The sequence below is a fragment of the Homo sapiens genome, chromosome 1 (assembly GCF_000001405.40).
Source record: "Homo sapiens chromosome 1, GRCh38.p14 Primary Assembly".
NCBI classification, from domain to species: domain Eukaryota; kingdom Metazoa; phylum Chordata; class Mammalia; order Primates; family Hominidae; genus Homo; species Homo sapiens.
The window spans coordinates 31,197,737-31,218,747 of record NC_000001.11 but is presented as its reverse complement, the minus strand read 5'-3'; the positions used below and the strand labels follow the sequence as shown (position 1 = coordinate 31,218,747).

Genomic DNA, 21,011 nt, shown 5'->3' with positions numbered 1-21,011 from the left:
ATCAGGGACAAATAGGACAGGAAGTGGGGACGTGAGGAGGAGGGTACAGGGGCACAGTTTATCAAGGCCTGCTATGGCCAAATGCTTGATGCACCTGATCAACTCTCACTCTCCCAGCAGCATGAGGTGATGGTAAGATTTCCTCCCATTTTGCAGAAGAGGAAGCTGAGGGAGTGGAAATCCTGCATCTGTTACTTCCTAAAAGTGTGAACAGAGGCAAGTTGCCCAGCCTCCCTGAGCTCAGTTTCAAGTTTCTTCATCTGTAAAGTGGAGATGAGTGTACCTGCCTCTTAGAGCCATCCAGCAAATTCAGTGAGAGAATCCATGAAATGCACTCAGCACAGCAGCACCTGGCACTTAGTTAAGGCTTAGAAAATGGTAGCTGCGGCCAGGTGCGGTGGCTCATGCCTGTAATCCCAGCACTTTGGAAGGCTGAGGCGGGAGGATCATGAGGTCAGGAGATCGAGACCATCCTGGCCAACATGTTGAAATCCCCATCTCTACTAAAAATACAAAAATTAGCCAGGCATGGCAGTGTGCACCTGTAGTCCCAGCTACCCGGGAGGCTGAGGCAGGAGAATTGCTTGAACCTGGGAGGCAGAGGCTGCAGTGAGCTGAGAATGTGCCACTGCACTCCAGCTTGGGTGACAGAGCGAGACTCCATCTCAAAAAAAAAAAAGAAAGAAAGAAAGAAAGAAAGAAAGAAAGAAAGAAAGAAAGAAAGAAAGAAAATGGTAGCTGCTGTGATTATGGCCAATACAAATCATTATTAGGTGCTTAGAGGACAGGAGTGCCTATGAAGCATAAATCATGATTGTTTGCTGAATGGAGTCCTCCCAGGCACAGAATCCTGGAATCCAGGAGCCAAGAGGGTCCCTAGAGAACATCCCTGCAGCCCTTTGTTTATACAGATGAGTACACAGAACCCCAGGGACACAGTGGGGCCTGTTAGGTCCAACTCCTGTCTCCTTTCCTCACTGCCCCAGGAGAGGACAGGGAGCCTGGCACTGAGGCCCTTCATGTGCTGTTCCAGGAAGCAGGCTGATGCCACTTCCAGGAGGGATGGAGACTGGGCGTGTAATTCCAGACAAAAATACCTGGAACAAGAATAAGATCCCCCAGTGGGTGGAAGCAGTCAGCTACTCTCTGCCCAATTATGGGCAAGAGTCTGCTGCTAGAGCCTTTCCCCATGGTCTTGATGTTTCCGGGTGGGGGTTGGTAGGGAGCAGTGGTGAGGGTGCCCATCAGTCTAGGAGGTGCCACTAAATAAATCATAATGCAAGGCCAGGCATGGTGGCTCACACCAGTAATCCCAGCATTTTGAGAGGCCAAAGCAGCAGGGTCTCTTGAGGCCAGGAGTTTGAGACCAGCTTGGACAACATAGTGAGACCCCCGTCTCTACAAAAAATACAAAAATTAGCTGGGCATGTTGGCACACACTTGTAGCCCTAGCTACATGGGAGGCTGAGGCAAGAGAATCACTTGAGTCCAGGAGTTGGAGGCTGCAGTAAGCTATGACTGTGCTGCCACACTCCAACCTGGGCAACAGACTAAGACCCTGTCTCTAAAACAAAAAGTCAATGCCGCGGCACGGTGGCTCATGCCTGTAATCCCAGAACTTTGGGAGGCCGAGGTGGGCGGATCACTTGAGGCCAGGAGTTCAAGACCAGCCTGGCCAACATGGTAAAACCCTGTCTCTACTAAAAATACAAAAATTACCTGGGCGTGGTGGCACACGCCTGTAATCCCAGCTACTTGGGAGGTTGAGGCGGGAGAATCGCTTGAATGCGGGAGGCGGAGTTTGCAGTGAGCCAAGATCGCACCATTGCACTCCAGCCTCGGCAACACAGACAGCCTCCATCTCACACACACACAAAAATACAAAAATTAGCTAGGCGTGGTGGCAGCCACCTATAATCCCAGCTACTCGGGAGGCTGAGGCAGGAGAATCACTTGAACCCCGGAGGTGGAGGTTGCAGTGAGCCGAGATGGTGCCACTGGACTCCAGCTGTCTCAATAAATAAATAAATAAATAAATAAATAAATAAATAAATAAAAGTCAATGCCACAGGCGTTCCTAGGAGATCAAACCCCACTGATGATGGCCTCGCCCCTCCTCTGGAAGAAAAGTCCTCCAGCTCTCCTAGCAGGGCAGCGAGTCTGTTAAACTCATGGACATGAGCCAGGGGACCTGGTCCAAATCTTAATCTGCCATATGACCTCAGGCAAGTTACTTTTTGGTGTGCTTCAGTGCTTTCATATGCAAAGCGGGCTTGACCTTAGGCTGTACCTGGCATGTTTCTTTGAAGATTAAATGAATCAAAGTGTTCTAAACTTGGAGAGATACTTGACATAGGGTAAGCATTAGCTATGATTCCCTCACAGTGTCATTCTGGGGATGAAAGGAAATGCCACCTGTGAAGAGCAGCGCTCGGCATAGGCACATTCAGACTAGGCCGTGAGAACCAGGCCTTCCTTGCCCTCCTCGCTCCACTCCTGCTCCCACGTGCAGACGGCAATTGCTTCCTCCAACAGATCCAACCAGCCGCCTCTGGCCCAGGGCCAGGAAATGATTGTTCCATTCCGTTCCCCCGTGCTCCTCTGCCCTCCCCTTTAATCTTCCCAGCCTGCCTGCGAGATAGAGGGAGAGAAAGTCTCCTCCCAAAGCTGCAGTGGGGCCTGCAGGTATCTGCTTAAGAGCTCAGGCTCTGGGACCAGACCACTTGGGTTTACTGCAGCTGTGCCCCCACTCCAGCTCTGAGATCTTGTCCCCTTCGTAGAACGAGGGGGCAGTGGCCCATCCCTCATTTGTAGTTGTGAGAGCTGAATGACATGGGGCACAAAAAGTGCTGGCCCAGAGTCCATGTGCATATCTTAGCCATTGTTATTAGTGCTTTTATTATAGGTCAGAGCCAGGTATTCTGAAGAGAAACCCTTCTAGCATAGTCACTGGGGGTAACTCGTGAGAGATGCACCACTCATGGCCTCTGCCATGATTCCTTCTTACTGCTCCAGCGGTAACAGGCCCCAGGTGATCCCTCCCAGGGCCTTCGGTTGGGCCAGACACCCCCATCCCTCATATACGATGGATTACCAGGAAAGGGACTGAGGGGAGGGGTGGAGGAGGTGTCATTTATTCCTTCGTGCTGCAGGAATCAGAGCAGGAGGCCTGTGCTGATAATCAGAGCTTCAGCATAGGAATGAGTAGTTCAGTGCCAGGGAAGGACACCAGACTGACAGACCCCCTACACCTGTCTGAGCCTCAGTGTCCCGGGCGGTCTGATGGGGATAACAGTCCCACATCACGGGCAGCGTAAATCACAATCTGAGTGGTGAAGCGCTGTCCAGATGTTGGTGCCTGCTGTGATTCTCCACTGGAAAGAGAAGCGGGATGCTGGGTCCGAGCCAAGACTGGGACAGAAAGTAGGTAAGGGGGATCCCGAAGCCCTGGGTTGGGGGGAGTACTGCTGTGCAACTTTGCCCAAGGGGCTCCTGACACCCACTGCTGTTGCTAGGCAGACTTCCCCACCTGGCTTTTAGTCGGAAGGAGAAGTCAGAAGTGGTTGCTGTTGCCATAGCAGTGAGACTGGTTTTCATCAGAATTTCCTTCCTGGGAGAATCAGTACAAGGAGCTGCCGCTAAATAAGTCAGGGAATTGGATTTTTTTCTCCTCCCACGAGGTCACATGAAGAGTGGCCTCAGCCAGAACAAATGACCTCCGGGCTCCTTCCAGATGCTGACTGGGAACACTTGACTCCCCACCGTAGGTGCTTAACGCCTCCAGCATGATGTTTGGCCCTAGGGGGCGCCCGGAGGGCTTAGTGTCCCATCCCAGGCTGCTTTCTCTGTTCAGGCCACAGGGCATGACGGCCCCTCCAGCCCTTCCCTTTGGTGTCCCTCCCTCGCATTCCCCCAGCTCTAGCCACCTGGGTCCTCTCCAGCGCCTGCTATTATGTCCATCTCCCTCCCTCCACAGGACCTTTGCACAGGCGCTCATCTCTGCCTGATTCTCCCTCCCTTTCCTCCTTATCCTGTTACCTCTTCCTTCAGATCACTTCCTCGCAGAAGTCTTCCTTGACCACTCTCATCATAGCTCTTGTCCTTGGCACCCTTCCTTCAGAGCACTGAGCACAACAGGGATTTTGTGCTGCACAGGTGTGCACACACACGCATGCACAAACACATGCAGACACACACATGCATGCACACATACACATGTACACATACACTGAATGTAAGCTCTATGAGGCCAAGATCCGTTTCTGGTTTTTTTCTTTTTTTTTTTTTTTAACTTTATTGAGATATAATTCACATACCATAAAATTGTTCCATTTTAAAGTGTACAATTCAGTGGTTTTCAGTGTATTCATAAAGTTGTGCAGCCATCACCACTATCTGATTCCTGAATATTTTCATCATCCTAAAAAGAGACCCCCAAACCCATTAGCAGTCACTCCCCACTCCCCCTTGCCACCAGCTTCTGGCAACCACTAATCCACTTTCTATTTTTCTGGATTTGCCTATGCTGGACATTTTGTATAAGTGGAATCATACAGTAGGTGATCCTTTGTGACTGTTATCCTTCACCTAGCATAATGTTTTCAAGGGTCATTCATGTTGTAGCAGGTATCAATACTTCATTCTTTCTTATGGCTTAATAATATTCTGTTGTATGGATATATCACTTCTTAAATTTTTATTTTGTTTAATTAATTAATTAATTAATTAATTAATTTTTATTTTATTCTTTTTTTGAGACAGGGGCTCACTCTGTGGTCCAGGCTGGAGTGTGGTGATGTGATCACAGCTTACTGCAGCCTCAATCTCCCGGGCTCAAGCAATCCCCATGCCTCAGCCTCCCAAGTAGCTGGGACTACAGGTGTGCACCACTACACCCAGCTAATTTTTAAATTTTTGTGGAGACAGGATCTCCCTGTATTGCCCAGGCTGGTTTTGAATTCCTGGGCTCAAGGGATCCTCCCGCTTCACCCTCCCAAAGTGCTGGGATTACAGGTGTGAGCCACTGCACCCAACTTGTGTTGCAATTTTTTATCCATCCATCAGATGATGGACATTGGGTTGTTTCCACTTTTTGGCTGCCATGAATAATGCTGCTATGAGCATTTATGTACAAGCTTTGTGCTAACTTTGTTTTCACTTCTCAGGTGTATATACCTAGGAGAAGAAATGCAGGGCCGCATGATATCTCTGTGTCCAGCTGTTGGAAGAACTAGCCCCATTTTCCACAGCAGTCGCACCATTTTACATTTCCACCAGCAACACATGAGAGTTCCAGTTTCTCTGCATCATCAACACTTGTTATTATCTGCCTTTTTTATTAGAGCCACCCTAGTGGGTGTGAAGTATGTCACACTTTTGATTTGCATTTCCCAAATGACTATTTTGAGCATATTTTTTTGTGCTTATCAGCCACTTGTATACCTTCTTTGGAGAAATTCTTTGCAAATCCTTTTTCCATTTTTAATTGGGTTATTTATCTATTTACTGGTGAATTGCAAAAGTTCTTTATATATCCTGGATTTTGGACACTTATTAGATGTATGATTGGCAAACATTGTCTCATATTGTATGGGTTGACTTCTCACTTTCTTTTTTTTTGTATCCTCAACAACTTTATCTGTACAAATTTTCACTTTCTTGATAGTACCCTTTGATATACTAATGTTTTTCAAAAAAAAAAAAAACAAAAGAAAAAGCTTTTTATTTTGTGTATTTATTTATTTATTTTTTGAGACAGAGTCTTGCTCTGTCACCTAGGCTGGAGTACAGTGGCACAATCTTGGCTCACCACGAGCTCCACCTCCCAGCTTCACACCATTCTCCTGCCTCAGCCTCCCGAGTAGCTGGGATTACAGGCGCCTGCCACCACGCCCAGCTAACTTTTTGTATTTTTAGTAGAGACAGGGTTTCACCGTAGCCAGGATGGTCTTGATCTCCTGACCTTGTGATCCGCCCACCTCGGCCTCTGAAAGTGCTGAGATTACAGGCTTGAGCCACCGGGCCTGGCCAAGCTTATTTTTATGGCTGGGTGCGGTGGCTCACGTCTGTAATTCAAAAGTTTCGGGAGGCCAAGGCAGGCAGATTGCTTGAGCTCAGGAGTTCGAGACCAGTGTGGGCAACATGGTGACACCCTGTCTCTATCAAAAATCCAAAAAGTAGCCGGGTTTGGTGGTGTGTGCCTGCGGCCCCAGCCACTCTAGAGTCTGAGGTGGGAGGATCACTTGAGCCTAGGAGGTGGAGGTTGCAGTGAGCAGAGATTGTGCCACTGCACTCCAGCCTGGGTGACAGAATGAGACCTTGTCTCCTAAAAAAAAAAAAAAAAAAGAAACTATTACCTAATCCAGAGTAATACAGATTTATACCTATGGTTCCTTCCAAGGATCTTATAGTTTTGGCTCTTACATTTAGGTTTTTGACCCATTTTCAGTTAATTTTTGTATATGGTGTGAGGAAGGAGTGCACCTTTATTCTTTTGCATGTGAGTATCCAGTTGTCCCAGCAACATTTGTTGAAAAAACTATGCTTTCTCCATTGAATAGTCTTGGCACCCTTGTTGAAAATCAATTGACAATAGATGTATGGATTTGGTTTGGGACTAGTCTGTTCCATTTATCTGTATGTCTATCCTTATGCTAGTACCACACTGTCTTGATAACTGTAACTTTGTCATTGTAAGTTTTGAAATCAGGAAGTATGAGTCCTCAAACTTTGTTCTTTTTCAAGATTATTTTGTTATTTGAACTCCATATATATATTTTTGTTTTGTTTTGTTTTGTTTTGTTTTTGAGACAGAGTCTCACTCTGTCTCCCAGGCTGGAGTGCAGTGGCGCAATCTTGGCTCATTGCAACCTCCGCCTCCTGGGTTCAAGCGATTCTCCTACCTCAGCCTCCTGAGTAGCTAGGACTACAGGCATGCGTCACCACGCCTGGCTAATGTTTTGTATTTTTAGTAGAGACGAAATTTCACTATGTTAGCCAGGCTGGACTCGAACTCAAGCAATCCACCCCCCTTGGCCTCCCAAAGTGCTGGGATTACAGGCATGAGCCACCGTGCCCAGCCAAGATTCCACATATTTCCATATGAATTTTAAGGCCAACTTATACATTCCTGAAAAAAAAAAAAGGTAGTTGGAATTTTGATAGAGTGCATTGAATCTGTAGATCAATTTGGGAAGTATTACCATTTTAACAATATCAAGTCTCCCAATCCATAAATTTGGGTCTTCTTTAATTTCTTCAATAATGTTTTGTTTTCAGCATACAGGTCTTGCACTTACTTGGTTAAATTTATGCTAAGCATTTTCTTCTTTTTGATGCTATTGTAAATGAAATTGTTTTGTTAATTTTATGTTTAGATTGTTCATTGTCAATGTGTAGAAATTCAAGTGATTTTTGTATATTGATCTTGGACTCTGCAGCCTTGCTGACCTAAATTAGTAGCTCTAGTTGTTTTTTGGGGATTCTTTAGTTTATTCTACATACAAGATCATGTAATCTGCAATTAGCAAATAGTTTTACTTCTTCTTTTCCAGTGTGGATGCCTTTGATTTCTTTTTCTTGCCTAATTGTCCTGGCTAGAACCTCCAGCACAGTGTTGAATAGCAGTGATGAGAGCGGACATCCCTGTCTTGTTCCTGATCTTAGGGGGAAAGCTTTCAGTCTTTTACCGTTAAGTATGATGTCGGCTGTGGCTTTTCTGTAGATGCCCTTCACCAGGTTGAGGAAGTTCCCTTCTCTTTCTATTTTGTTGAGTGTTTCTGTCAAGACAGGGGCTATGTCTGCTTTTGCCTTTGTCCACTGCTTTGTCTCCACTGTCTAGTGTTATGATTGACATCCAATAAATATTTACTAGTTGAACAAATCAGGTAAGAATGGAGAGGACTCACAACAGCTGATGGAGCCCAGCCTCCCCAGGCCCTTCCTTCAGGGATTCTAAATGTCCATGTCCCTAACTTCAGGGTTGGACCCTTTCTCCTTACTCACCCCTGTCAACCTTTCCCTGGCCTGATGCACAGATGTGGGTTCTGTTAGAAATGATCTCCATTTCAGATGAGGAAACGGGCTCAGCTGTGTTGAGTGACCTACTGTTAGGTTTGGTGCAAAAGAGATTGCGTTTTTTGCCATTGAAAGTAATGGCAAGCCGGGTGTGGGGGCTCACGCCTGTAATCCCAGCACTTTGGGAGGCCAAGGCGGGTGGATCACCTGAGGTCAGTTGTTCGAGACTAGCCTGGCCAACGTGGTGAAACCCCGTCTCTACTAAAAATATAAAAATTAGCTGGGCGTGGTGGTGGGTGCCTGTAATCCCAGCTGCTCAGGAGGCTGAGGCAGGAGAATTGCCTGAACCCAGGAGACGGAGGTTGCAGTGAGCCAACATGGTGCCACTGCACTCCAGCCTGGGCGACAGAGTGAGACTCCATTAAAAAAAAAAAAAAAAAGAATGGCAAAAACCACAATTACTTTTGCACCAAACCTAATAGCTTTGTGGCCCGTGGGTATGGCTGGCTTCTGAGGTTGCAGTTCTTGTACCTGCTGGCTTGGGAAAAGGAGGGCGCTGAGCCCTAAGAGATGCATTACTAAGACATAATGCATTTCTGCAAAGCATCATTCTACCCTGAATTTGGTGGGCGTGAACTAAGGAGGAGGCTCTATTTCAGAGTAGAATGCTGGATGATGTGTTGGATGATGCTGGATCAGCCATTGTGAGTCCTCTTCATTCTTATCTTTTTTTTTTTTTTTTAATAAGACAGGGTCATGCTCTGTTGCTCAGGCTGGAGTGCAGTGGCCCAACAATAGCTCACTGCAGCCTCGACCTCCTGGGCTCAAGGGATCCTCCCACCTCAGCATCCTGAGTAGCTAGGACTACAGACATGCACCACCACACCTGGCTAACTTTTTTTTTCTTTCTTTTTAGAGACAGGGTCTCACTTTGTCACCCAGACTGGAGGGGAGTGATGCGATCACAGCTCACTGCAACCTTGACCTCCCAGGTTCAAGTGGTCTTCCCACCTCAGCCTCCGGAGTAGCTGGGACTACAGGCATACACCACTATGTCTGGCTACTTTTTTTATTTTTTGTAGAGACAGGGGTCTTACTATGTTGCCCAGGCTGGTCTCAAACTCCTGGGCTGAAGCAATGCTGCATCAGCTTCCTAAAACATTGGGATTACAGGCATGAGCCATCATGCCTGGCTATACGTATTCTTTTAGGATAAAAAAGAGTTCCAGGAGACTCCCTTTTTGCAGGAGACTCCCTGGAGGTGGAATCTGCTGTTGGGATTCTCAGCTGGGAGAGGGGTGGAGGCTGCACTCTGCTGGGCTGCTGGTTGTTTTTTTGTTTTGTTTTGTTTTGTTTGAGATGGAGTTTTGCTCTTGTTACCCAGGCTGGAGTGCAGTGGCGCAATCTCGGCTCACTGCAACCTCCGTCTCCCGGGTTCAAGTGATTCTCTTGCCTCAGCCTCCCAAGTAGCTGGGACTACAGGTGCCCACCACCAAGCCCAGCTAACTTTTGTGTTTTTAGTAGAGACCAGGTTTCACCGTGTTGGTCAGGCTGGTCACGATCTCCTGACCTCGGGTGATCCACCTGCCTCGGCCTCCCAAAGTGCTGGAATTACAGGTGAGAGCCACCACTCCAGCCCTGGGCTGCATTTCTTGGCCCAGTCTTGGCCCAGTGGGATGGTCTTCCTGTTAAAGCCACGGAGGGCATCTTCCCTGTGAAGGGAGAGCTTGATGGCTCCCAGGATGTCAGTTACCCCATTGGATCCACTCCCACCCCCTGGGAGGTGAGAAGGGTAGGAGTTATATTGCCCAGTTTACAGATGAGAAAACTGAAGCCCTGGAACATCAAGTGTGATTTGCCCAAGGCCTCAGTATCACAACTCGCAGAGTCCGACAGCATGTTATAGACCCACACCAGAGTGTGGCACGGAACAGGAAGAGCCAGAGTTCCTGAAAGTCAGGAGGTTTGTGTAACGCCTCTGCTGTAGACAAGGGCTGACCGCTCTCAAAGTCCGGGGCAGCTTCAAGGGAGCATTTTGAGGGAGGCCTGTGGCCTAACAAACTGTGCACTTACATCAGAGGTTTCCAGGGCCCCCTCCCCCCACTATGTGGGGGCCACATAGACCTTGGGTTAATTGCAGGATCCTGTGAGCTTTGGTGTCTCTGTGTCTGGGATCCCCACCCCCAGGGGTGCTGTGAAGGCAGGTAGGCTTCCCTGCTTGATAGGGTAGCAAAGGCCTGTGGGTAGGACTTCTGCATTTTCTCTTATTAGCAAGGAAGAAAGGCTTCTGGAAAGAATGAAAGAAATCTTCACGAAAGGAAGCCGGGAATGAGAAAGCTGCAGCAGAGGCGGATCTCCAACAGAACACAAGTTTCCATAAGCGGGGGGTGGAAGAAAGAATTGGACTCAGAGGAGACCAAAGAATGGCATTTGTTGGGTGCTTCTTCTGTACCAGGCATTATGCTTTGCATCCTTTAGTGTCACAGTGACTCTGAGGTTTTATTCTTTTCCTTTTTATAGATGAGGAAACGGGCTTAGGGAGATTTAAACACTTGCCAGAGGTCACACGGCTAGTAAATGATGGAGTGGGGATTTGAACAGAACACATCTCAGCCATCATCGGTGGCATGAGCGGATCCATTGGGAGAGTTTCCAGTTCCAGTAGTGCAGGGAGTCAGGCCACAGCGGTGATGCTTTGGGGGCCCAGCGGCCATCTGTGGACCAGGAGAGCTAGTGGGGAAACCTGGGGTGGTGGCAGACAGGCTCTAGAGCCTGCAGATCTGTGTTCCTGCCTCTACCGCTTCCTGACTGTGTAACCTGGGATCTGTTACTTCACCTCCCTGGGCCTCAGTATCCATGTATGTAAAATGACACTTCTCCAAGGGTTGAGAGGAGTACATGATATGGACATCAAGCAGCGTGTACAGGGCGGGCTCAGTGCAAGTCCCCAGAGGGTGGGCAGCGTCAGTTTCAGTCCTTGCCCTCTTCCTTGGGCTTGTGTAATTTGATAATTGAAGTTTGTCTGTGTCACCATAGACTTGGCACAGCTCGTGGCCAGGGCAGGGGCTGTTCCTCTTTGCACCCAGGGTCAGTGCCCATGAATGCTTCATGGGCAAAGAAGAACAAGAGTGGGGCAGGGGGGTCAGGCAGCTGCTGGGCTGCTTGGGGATGAGTGGGGTGAAATACCACCTGGCCTCAAAGTGACCTGCACATTAGGACAACTGTGATCCTTTCTCCTTCAGTACATGAGTCCTCTGTATGAGCAACACAGGCCCAGAGTCTGCACTACAGGGAACAATCATCGTAGCTAACACTTCTATGGCTATGAACCAGGCAGTGTTCTGAACATTTGACACATATTCCCTACTTAAGCTTCACAACATTCGCTTGAAATGGGTACTGTTATCATCATCCCCATTTTACAGTTGGCTAATAAATGACAGAGCCGGGATTTGAAATTAAAGAACAGAGAGGTTAAGTGACTTACTGAAGGTCACACAGCTAATAAGTATTAAAGGTAGGATTCAAACCCAGATAGTTTGGCTCCTAGGCCATACTTTTAACCTCTGTGGTGTACAGCTTCTTGGGGAACAAGCAGCAAGAATCTGATCTTGGTATGAAACCAAGGATTTAACAATTATCCTAATAATGGCACATGTGGGCACAGCACTACACAGTTTAAAAAGCACATACAGCCAGGTGGGATTACAGGATCACACTTTTAATCCCAGCACTTTGGGAGGCTGAGGCGTGCGGATCACTTGAGGTTGGGAATTCAAGACCAGCCTGGCCAACACGGCGAAACCCCATCTCTACAAAAAAATACATAACCTAGCTGAGCGTAGTGGTGCATGCCTATAGTCCCAGCTACTCAGGAGGCTGAGGTAGGAGGATCTCTTGAGGCTCAGAGGTTGGGGCTGCAGTGAGCCATGATCATGCCACTGCACTCCAGCCTGAGCAACAGAGTGAAACCCTGTGTCAGAAAAATTAAAATAGGCCAGGTGCAGTGGCTCACACCTATAATCCCTGCACTTTGGAAGGCTGAGATGGGCAAATTGCTGGAGCTCAAGAGTTTGAGACCAACCTGAGCAACATGGTGAAACCCCATCTCCACCAAAAATACAAAAAATTAGCCAGGTGTAGCGGTGTGCACCTGTGGTCCTAGCTCCTCAGGAGGCTGAGACAGGAGGATCACTTGAGCCCAGGAGGCAGAGGTTGCAGTGAGCCAAGATCACGCCACTGCATTCCAGCTTGGGCAAAACAGTGAGACCCTGTCTCAAAAAACTAAATACATAAAATAAATAAAAATTTAAAAAATAAAATAAAAATAAAAACCACATACTACTATATAACTTGCTTTCATGGTTGTGATTTACTCAGTTCTCTAACTTCTCTATGAAGAAGATAGGGCTTTATTGGCTTCTTTTTTAAAATGTTTATTTCTCATTTAAACCAGAGAGTTTATTTATTTTTATTTTATTTATTTATTTATTTTTGAGATGGAGTTTTGCTCTTGTTGCCCAGGCTGGAGTGCAGTGGTGGGATCTTGGCTCACTGCAACCTCCTCATCCCGGGTTCAAGCGATTCTCCTGCCTCAGCCTCCCAAGTAGCTGGGATTACAGGTGCCCACCACCACGCCCAGCTAATTTTTGTATTTTTAGTAGAGACGGGGGTTTCATCATATTGGTCAGGCTGGTCTCGAACTCCTGACCTCAGGTGATCCACCCACCTCAGCCTCCCAAAGTGCTGGGATTACAGATGTAAGCCACTGCACCTGGCCTAAACCGGAGAGTTTAAAATGCTTGTCTGGGCCGGGCGCGGTGGCTCATGCTTTTAATCCCAGCATTTTGGGAGGCCAAGGCAGGCCGATCACCTGAGGTCAGGAGTTCGAGACCAGCCTGACCAACATAGTGAAACCCTGTCTCTACTAAAAATGCAAAAATTAGCTGGGCGTGGTGGCACACACCTGTAATCCCAGCTACTTGGGAAGTTGAGGCAGGAGAATTGCTTACACCTGGGAGGCAGAGGTTGCGGTGAGCCGAGCCGAGATCGTGCCACTGCACTCTAGCCTGGGTGACAGAGTGAGACTCCATCTCAAAAAAAAAAAAAAAAAAAAAACTTGTCCGGCTGGGCGTGGTTGCTCACGCCTGTAATCCCAGCACTTTGGGAGACTTAGGCGGGCAGATCACGAGGTCAGCAGTTTGAGACCAGTCTGGCCAACATAGTGAAACCCCATCTCTACTAAAAATACAAAAATTATCTGGGCATGGTGGGGCGTGCCCGTAGTTGTGGCTACTCAGGAGGCTAAAGCAGGAGAACGGCTTGAACCCAGAAGGCAGAAGTTGTGGTAAGCCGAGATTGTGACACTGCACTCCAGCCTAGGCAACAGAGCCAGACTCCGTCTCAAAAAACAAACAAACAAACAAACAAAAAATTAGCTGGGTGTGGTGGCAGGCACCTGTAATCCCAGCTACTCGGGAGGCTGGGGCAGGAGAATTGTGTGAACCCGGGAGACAGAGGTTGCAGTGAGCCGAGATCGAGCCATTGTATTCCAGCCCGGGCGAGACTCCATCTCAAACAAAAAAAAAATTGCTTGTCCAATCCGTGATAATTTATTGAACAGTTACATGCAAAGTCATTCATTCACATTACCTCATTGAATCCTCCCACAAATCCAGGAAGTAGATATTATTGTTCCCATTTTACAGTTGAGGAAACCGAGGCATTAGGAGGTGGCTTTCCCAGATCCTACAACTTGTGAGAGCTGAGACTCACTTCCAGGCCTGCCCGAGTGCAGAGCCTGAGCTGATAATTACCGGGCTCTCCAGCAGCCTCAGTCCCATCCTGGGTAGATGTTACCTCCTGCTTGTTTTCATTCTGGCCTTCCCCCCATCACTTCCATCCCTCTAGCCACTCCTGAAATTCCGAACACTGCCTTAATTAATTCTCTCTACCTAAGTGCCCGCTTCATTAAGGTGCTTTCTGCCATGAGTTTTTGGCTTAATTATGTGGTGTTCTTCATTGTACTTAGTTGGGGAATCTGATTAATCACCATTTTATTTATCCAAATGTTCATTTATCTGCAGCCGGCGTCTCCTGGGAGAGCCTTGTTTTTGCTGAGCTTGCCCTTCCTGGATTGTCTTCCCCTTCACCCCTGTCTTAAGTGCTCCTCTTTGGAGGGCACCTTCTTTCCAGGCCTTGGCTGCCCACTCCAGAGCTTGCCGGGGTCCCGGCATCTGGGAGATGGGACTGGGGATGCCTCAGTAGTTTAGACGTGGGAACATGGGCAGAAGTAGAGTAGGAATTGACAAGAAGATGGGAGTCCTGGGAGAGTGGGACCTCAGGCATGGAGGATTCTGGGCCCTGTCTCAGCTTGCCAAGAAAGGCCTCAGCATCTCCTCCTGGTCTCCCACTTCCAGTCCATCCTCCTCCTGTAGCCAGACAGCACTGCACCCAAAGCACCCAGCTTCCATGTCTCTATGCTCAGACCTTCCCTGCCTCCTAGGGACCAGCAGAATAAAGCCCTGGGTCCAAGGTCCAGCCACATCTCTTCCCCACCCTGCCACCCCTCATTTCATTCATCCAGAGCCACCCCAGGCCTCCAAGCTGTCCATACCCTCTCCATATCATGTGACCAGCTTGTCCCAGTTTGCCCAGGACTTTTGGAACTTGTCCCTGAAAGTGCTGTGCTCTAAGAAACCCCATGGTCTCAGGCACACTGGGACAGTTGGTCATCCTCAGCTCAGGGTCACCCACAGTCTCAGGCAGACTCATGGGGGTGTGCTCATTTGTCGCCATCAGTTTTGTCTTTGAATGTGTTTGTTCACTTATAAAAATATTACTCATAGGCCGAGCGCAGTGGCTCACGCCTGTAATCCCAGCATTTTGGAAGGCCGAGGCGGGCTAATCACTTGAGGTCAGGAGTTCAAGACTAGCCTGGCCAACATAGTGAAACCCCATCTCTACTAAAAATACAGAAATTGGCCAGGCGTGGTGGTGGGTGCCTGTAATCCCAGCTACTCAGGAGGCTGAGGCAGGAGAATTGCTTGAACCTGGGAAGCAGAGGTTGCAGTGAGCCAAGATGGTGCCACTGCACTCCAGCCTGGGTGACAGAGCAAGACTCCGTCTCAAAAAAAAAAAAAAATTACTCCTCGATGTAAAAACCTTGCAGAAATATATCTGGCTGAATCTCAAAGGCCCCCATAATCCCATTCCCTAGAGTTAACAAATTAACAGTTTGATGATTCTTTGTTTTGTTGTTATGCGTGAAAACAGCGTTGTCCTACTCAAGTGGCTCTGCAGCGCCGTTTCAAACGTGGTAGCTTGGCCCTCTTCCCACACTCCATCATAATGGCTGCATTGTGTTGAATCGTGTGGAGGCACTGTCATTGACTGTGACCCCTTCTGAGGGACATCCACAGTGTTTTCATTATTTTTTATTTATTTTATTTTATTTTTTATTTTTTTGAGATGGAATCTCGCTCTGTCACCTAGGCCAGAGTGCAGTGGCGCAATCTCGGCTTACTGCAACCTCTGCCTCCCGGGTGCAAGTGATTCTCCTGCCTCAGCCTCCCGAGTAGCTGGGATTACAGCCACCATGCCTGTCTAATTTTTGTATTTTTTGTAGAGATGGGTTTCACCATGTTGGCCAGGCTGGTCTCGAACTCCTGACCTCAGGAGTCCGCCCACCTTGGCTTCCCAAAGTGCTGGGATTACCCGCGTGAGCCACTGCCCCTGGCCTTTTTTTTTTTTTTTTAAGACGGAATCTCGCTCTGTCACCAGGCTAGAGTGCAGTGGTGTGATCTCAGCTCACTGCAACCTCCACCTCCTGGGTTCAAATGATTCTCTTGCCTCAGCCTCCCGAGTAGCTGGGACTACAGGCGCACACCACCACGCCCAGCTAATTTTTATATTTTTAGTAGAGACAGGATTTCACCATGTTGGCCAGGATGGTCTCAATCTCTTGACCTCGTGATCCGCCCACCTTGGCCTCCCAAAGTGCTGGGATTACAGGGGTGAGCCACTGTGCACAGCCTGATTTTTTTTTTTTTTTTTTTATACAGAGTCTCCTCTGTCGCCCAGGCTGGAGTGCGGTGGCACAATCTCAGCTCACTGCAAGCTCCACCTCCTGGGTTCACACCATTCTCCTGCCTCAGCCTCCTGAGTAGCTGGGACTACAGGTGCCCACCACCACACCCGGCTAGTTTTTTGTGTTTTTAGTAGAGATGGGGTTTCACCGTGTTAGCCAGGATGGTCTCGATCTCCTGACCTCGTGATCCGCCCACCTCGGCCTCCCAAAGTGCTGGGAATACAGAGATGAATGAACCACCCTGCCTGGTCCCCGGCCTGATTTTTTTTTAGACTTCCCCTTGGTAGCACCCTGGGCCGTTTGGCCCAGGATTTATGCAAATTAATGTAGATATATGCTAATTAGATCACTGCCAGGCACTTTGTTCTAATGGAGTTGCCAGCTCAGAGGTGCAGTGGGTTGGATCTGCCCAGAAGGGGCTTGCAGAGCCCCCCAGCTGGGGAAGGGGTGGGGATGGGTCAGTGGTCACTGAGATGAGGGGATGGGGTTACCATGGAGACAGAGGCCAGGAGCCTGCTGCTGCCTCCTGACAAGACCAGGGCTGGCCCAATCAGTCGCATCCTGGGCCTCCCTAGCAGCTCCAAGCTGGTCTCTGAGGGCTAATGATGCAGAAGGTGAGCAGATGCTCCCTGGCTCCCCAGGCCCAGCGGAGGTAGAGGGCTGGGCCGCAGCAGGAGGGCGTGCAGACAGGCAGATGGCAGTCAGGGGATTGGGGGTCCAGGACCTGTCCCGAGGAGGAGGAAGATTACCCCTCCAGGGTGGAAGGCACCTCCAGCAGTGCCATAAGGGGTGAGACTCCCAAATGCTGGGGCATGCAAACAGGCTGGGCGGCCAAATCTCAAAGAGCACCTTGGTAAGAAGTGGTGGAAAAGAGCAAGGGTTTGGCCCCAGACTGGTTGGAGTCAGCCGTTCTGCGTCCCCTTAGGCAAGCCTGCCACTGCTCTGGGCCTCAGTTTCCTCATTTATAAAAAGGGGTAGGATTGGCCGGGCGCGGTGGCTCACGCCTGTAATCCCTGCACTTTGGGAGGCCCAGGAGGGAGGATCACGAGGTCAGGAGATCGAGACCATCCTGGCTAACACGGTGAAACCCTGTCTCTATTAAAAATACAAAAAAAAATTAGCCGGGCATGGTGGCGGGCACCTGTAGTCCCAGCTACTTGGGAGGCTGAGGCAGGAGGATGGCGTGAACCCGGAAAGCAGAGCTTGCAGTGAGCTGAGATAGTGCCACTGCACTCCAGCCTCGGCGACAGAGAGAGACTCCGTCTCAAAAAAAAAAAAAAAATAGGGTAGGATTAAAAGGTGTGACATGAGCATGAGGTTTATAGACAATGAGTGCTCCATAAAGTATCCTAAGGTAGACCCCTTGAGAGAGGTTACTGATCTTCTGGGAGATTTGGTTTGTTTTGTTTCCTAATGGGACAGATGTTACTGGTGTCTGCTCTGAGGAGGGAAAGGGCAAGACTGTCATCCCCAAGAGGACAGGAGCTGGGTGCACTGTATTCACCACTGTGTTCTCGGGATTTAGCACACAAGAGGCACTCGAACTCCTGACCTCGTGATCCACCCGCCTTCGCCTCCCAAATTGCTGGGAGCGTGAGCCTGACCAAGATGGCAAAACCCTGTCTCTACTAAAAATACAAAAATTAGCCAGGCATGGTGGCAGTCACCTGTAATCCCAGCTACTCAGGAGGCTGAGGCAGAGAATTGCTTGAACCAGGGAGGCGGAGGTTGCAGTGAGCTGAGATCGCACCACTGCGCTCCAGCCTGGGCGACAGAGCGAGACTGTCAAAAAAAAAAAGGCACTCGAGAAATGTTTATAAGACGAATACATGTTATGTACTCAGAATACTGTCTAGATCAAATAGGAGATAAATAAATGTGGCCGGGCACAGTGGCTCACACCTGTAATCCCAACACCTTGAGAGGCCAAGGCAGGGGAGGATCACTTGAGCTCAGGAGTTCGAGACCAGCCTGGGAAATATAGTGAGACCCTTGTCTCTACAAAAAAGTTTAAAAAATAGCCAAGTGTGGGTGGCAGCTGCCTGTAGTCCCAACTACTCAGGAGGCTGAGGTGGGAAGATCACTTGATCCCAGGAGGCTGAGGCTGCAGTGAGCCCGGATCATGCCACTGCACTCCAGCATGAACAACAGCAAGACCCTGTCTCAAAAAAAAAAAAAAAAAAAGAGAGAGGAGACTTCTGGTCCAACTTTGTTGTAAGACATTCCGGAACTATAGAAGTGCATATAGTTAAGATTCAAAGTCTCCCCATCTCCCCACTCCCTAGAAATAACATCTCATAACTGTTTATTGTTATGAGATAACTCCCTGGCTTTTGGTCCTGTGTTTACAGTCGCACGCGTTTGGTGCCTTTTAGGGGAGGTGTTTACACGAACGGAATCATGTTGCTCTGCAGCTTGCTTTTTTCACCTAACAGTGATGGCCGTGGCCATTTCCCAGTGGGATCCGGGCTGGGATAGAGAGGCAGCAAGGCTGCAAAAGCCCTGGAAGAAAGACAGGAGAGAGGGGTGTGCGTGCGTGCGTGTGTGTGAATGCGTGTGCGCGCATGTGTTCGTGCGTGCGCGTGCGTGTGTGCACGTGTGCATGTGTGTGTGTGTGCGTGTGTGTGTGCATGTGTGTGCGTGTGTGTGTGTTCGGGGACCAGGGAGGCATCTTCACAGGTCCCTAGGCACAGTGGAGGGGAACCTGGCAGAGAAGCCCCCATCATCAGCTCATCAGCTCCCAGAGGACAGTGGTCTCTGTCTCCAGACGAGCTCTCTGAGGCAGGATACACGCCATGTTGTTCACTGCCATATGTCCAGGGCCCGGCACATTGTAGGTGCTCAAGAAATATTTGCTCAATGAATTGAGTCCTTACTGGGCCCATCTTCTTTGGCAGGGTCAAAGACCACTTGGTCTCTGTGACTGTTCCTTTTAATCTTATGTTGAGTTAAATCTCATTTCAACTCATGCTCAGATGGCAATGACCCCAGATGGACCCCCGGAGATGGGGAGAGGGAGGAGCACCTCCCCTCAGGCACATCACTGCCCCCTCTGCTGTCAGTTTGCTCACCTCCCTAATGAGGGGGTTGGGCCAGCAGATCTCAGGGGTCCTTCCAGCTCTGTTGTCTGCGGCTTTCATCCCACTCCCTCATTTCACAGATGAGGGGTTGAGTCGAGTTTAATTTTGTCAGCTGCCTCAGAAATCCATTGGGAAAAGGGGGGTCTGAGGTTGGGGATGCAACAAAAGCTGTTGCCATATAGTCAGCACCAACTGCGTGCCAGACATCCGGCTGGCTGCGAGCTTTATGGGCACTGTCTGAATCCTCAGGACATTTCACTAATGAGAAAACTGAGGCTCAGAGAGGGGGATAACTTGCCGAAGGTCACACAGTGAGTCGATGAGAACTGGGGCTGGAACTCAGGCCTCCCTGTCCTTAAATGGAGAGCTCGTCCCTCAGTGGACTGAAGTCAGTGAGAGAGACAGAACCAGGCTGGACCAAAGCTTTCTCCAGAAACTTCAAGGGTCCATCCCTCATCTTTCCCCAGACAGGCTGACTTCTGTGTCTAAGGCCTATGGTGACATGGCTGGAATTTTGGCCAGGAAAGTAGTTGACTTGCCAAATTGGCTGGCAAGGGTGGGGCACGAGAGACTTCTGATGGGTTCAATGGCCCTGAGCCTGGGCCCTACGCTACCTTCTCTCCCAGCCAGCTTCCTGGAGCTAGGGTGGGCCCATCTGCATTATTCAGCCCTTGTCCCTCACTCCCCACCTTGTGTGGGCTCCTGGGGTTGGCGTCTAGACAGACAAGAGCATCCTACTGAGAACAGAGGCAGCCCTGACTCGGGGCTGAAGGTTCCTATGGCAACGGCATCCCCCTTCAGCTGGCAGCTACCTGATAAATAAATAATTAGGGGTGGGGGCGGGGAGCGAAGGGCAGGGGGAAGGGCAGCAGGGAGCCTCAGGGAGGCCCCACTCTGGAGAGCAGAAGGGCCAGTTAGGTTTGAAGTAGGGTGGAGGGCAGGGGGGTTGGCATTGCTAGGTGAAAGAAAGTGGACGGAAAAAAGTGGCCAGATATGAGAGATTTGGAAGATCCCAGAGAGCCAGGGCTTGAGGATGGGCTGCGGCGAGTGGGGGACGTGGAACAAGTGGGGAGCATGAGGGAGACTGAAACCTAAAGTTTAGGTTCCTAGCTCAAGCGGCTGGACACATCGTGGGGCCCAAAACACTGGACATGGACCAGGTTTGGGCATATGGAGTTCACAATGAGCTGTTCACTGAGTCATTGGTTAGAATGCAGCTGGGGGCTGCACGTGAGCAGGTAGTCACTGAAGCTTGGGTGGGCATGCGTTTCCTGGGATAAGTGTGGCATGAAGAGGGCCTGGGATGTAGCTTTGGGGCACTCTAATAGTTAGGGGCCTGCTGCTCTAGAATGGGGTAGTAGCCAAGGAAGGTGGAGAATTTGGTTTTAGCACCTGGAGTGTGCCAAGCACTGGTCTCACCACTGAAAATACGGCAGTGAACCACACAAGCAGAAATTCCTGCCCTCACAAAGCTTGCCATCCACTGCAGGAGACAGACCATAACTAAATAGTGTGTAAAAGAGTGTGTTTGCCAATGATAAGCACAGGCCAGCGTGGTGGCACATGCCTGTAGTCCTAGCTACTCAGGAGGCTGAGGTGGGAGGATTGAGCCAAGGAGTTCAAGGCTGCAGTGAGCCGCGATCACACCACTGCACTCCAGCTGGGTGACAAAGCGAAAATCCCATCTCAAAAAAATAAAAATAAAAAGTAAAAAACCACCAGGTGCAGTGGCTCATGCCTGTAATCCCAACACTTTGGGAGGCCACGGTGGGCAGATCACTTGAGGTCAGGAGTTTGAGACCAGCCTGGCCAACATGGTGAAACCC

The 21,011-nt window shown here is 49.3% G+C and overlaps 1 protein-coding gene across 1 annotated transcript in view, besides 2 other annotated features; it reads left to right on the top strand.

Annotated features, from left to right (window-relative positions):
- NKAIN1 (sodium/potassium transporting ATPase interacting 1) overlaps positions 1 to 21,011 on the top strand; it is a 60,143-nt gene that overhangs the window by 21,140 nt on the left and 17,992 nt on the right. The gene's annotated exons all lie outside the window — the stretch shown is intronic.
- Positions 2,115 to 2,614: an enhancer, noted in NCBI's record as "NANOG-H3K4me1 hESC enhancer chr1:31688981-31689480 (GRCh37/hg19 assembly coordinates)". NCBI's record gives its function as "activates a minimal SCP1, AML or CMV promoter by ChIP-STARR-seq in naive H9 embryonic stem cells {active_cell/tissue: H9 hESC(naive)}" and the evidence as "EXISTENCE:reporter gene assay evidence [ECO:0000049][PMID:30033119]".
- Positions 19,754 to 20,254: an enhancer, noted in NCBI's record as "H3K4me1 hESC enhancer chr1:31671341-31671841 (GRCh37/hg19 assembly coordinates)". NCBI's record gives its function as "activates a minimal SCP1, AML or CMV promoter by ChIP-STARR-seq in naive H9 embryonic stem cells {active_cell/tissue: H9 hESC(naive)}" and the evidence as "EXISTENCE:reporter gene assay evidence [ECO:0000049][PMID:30033119]".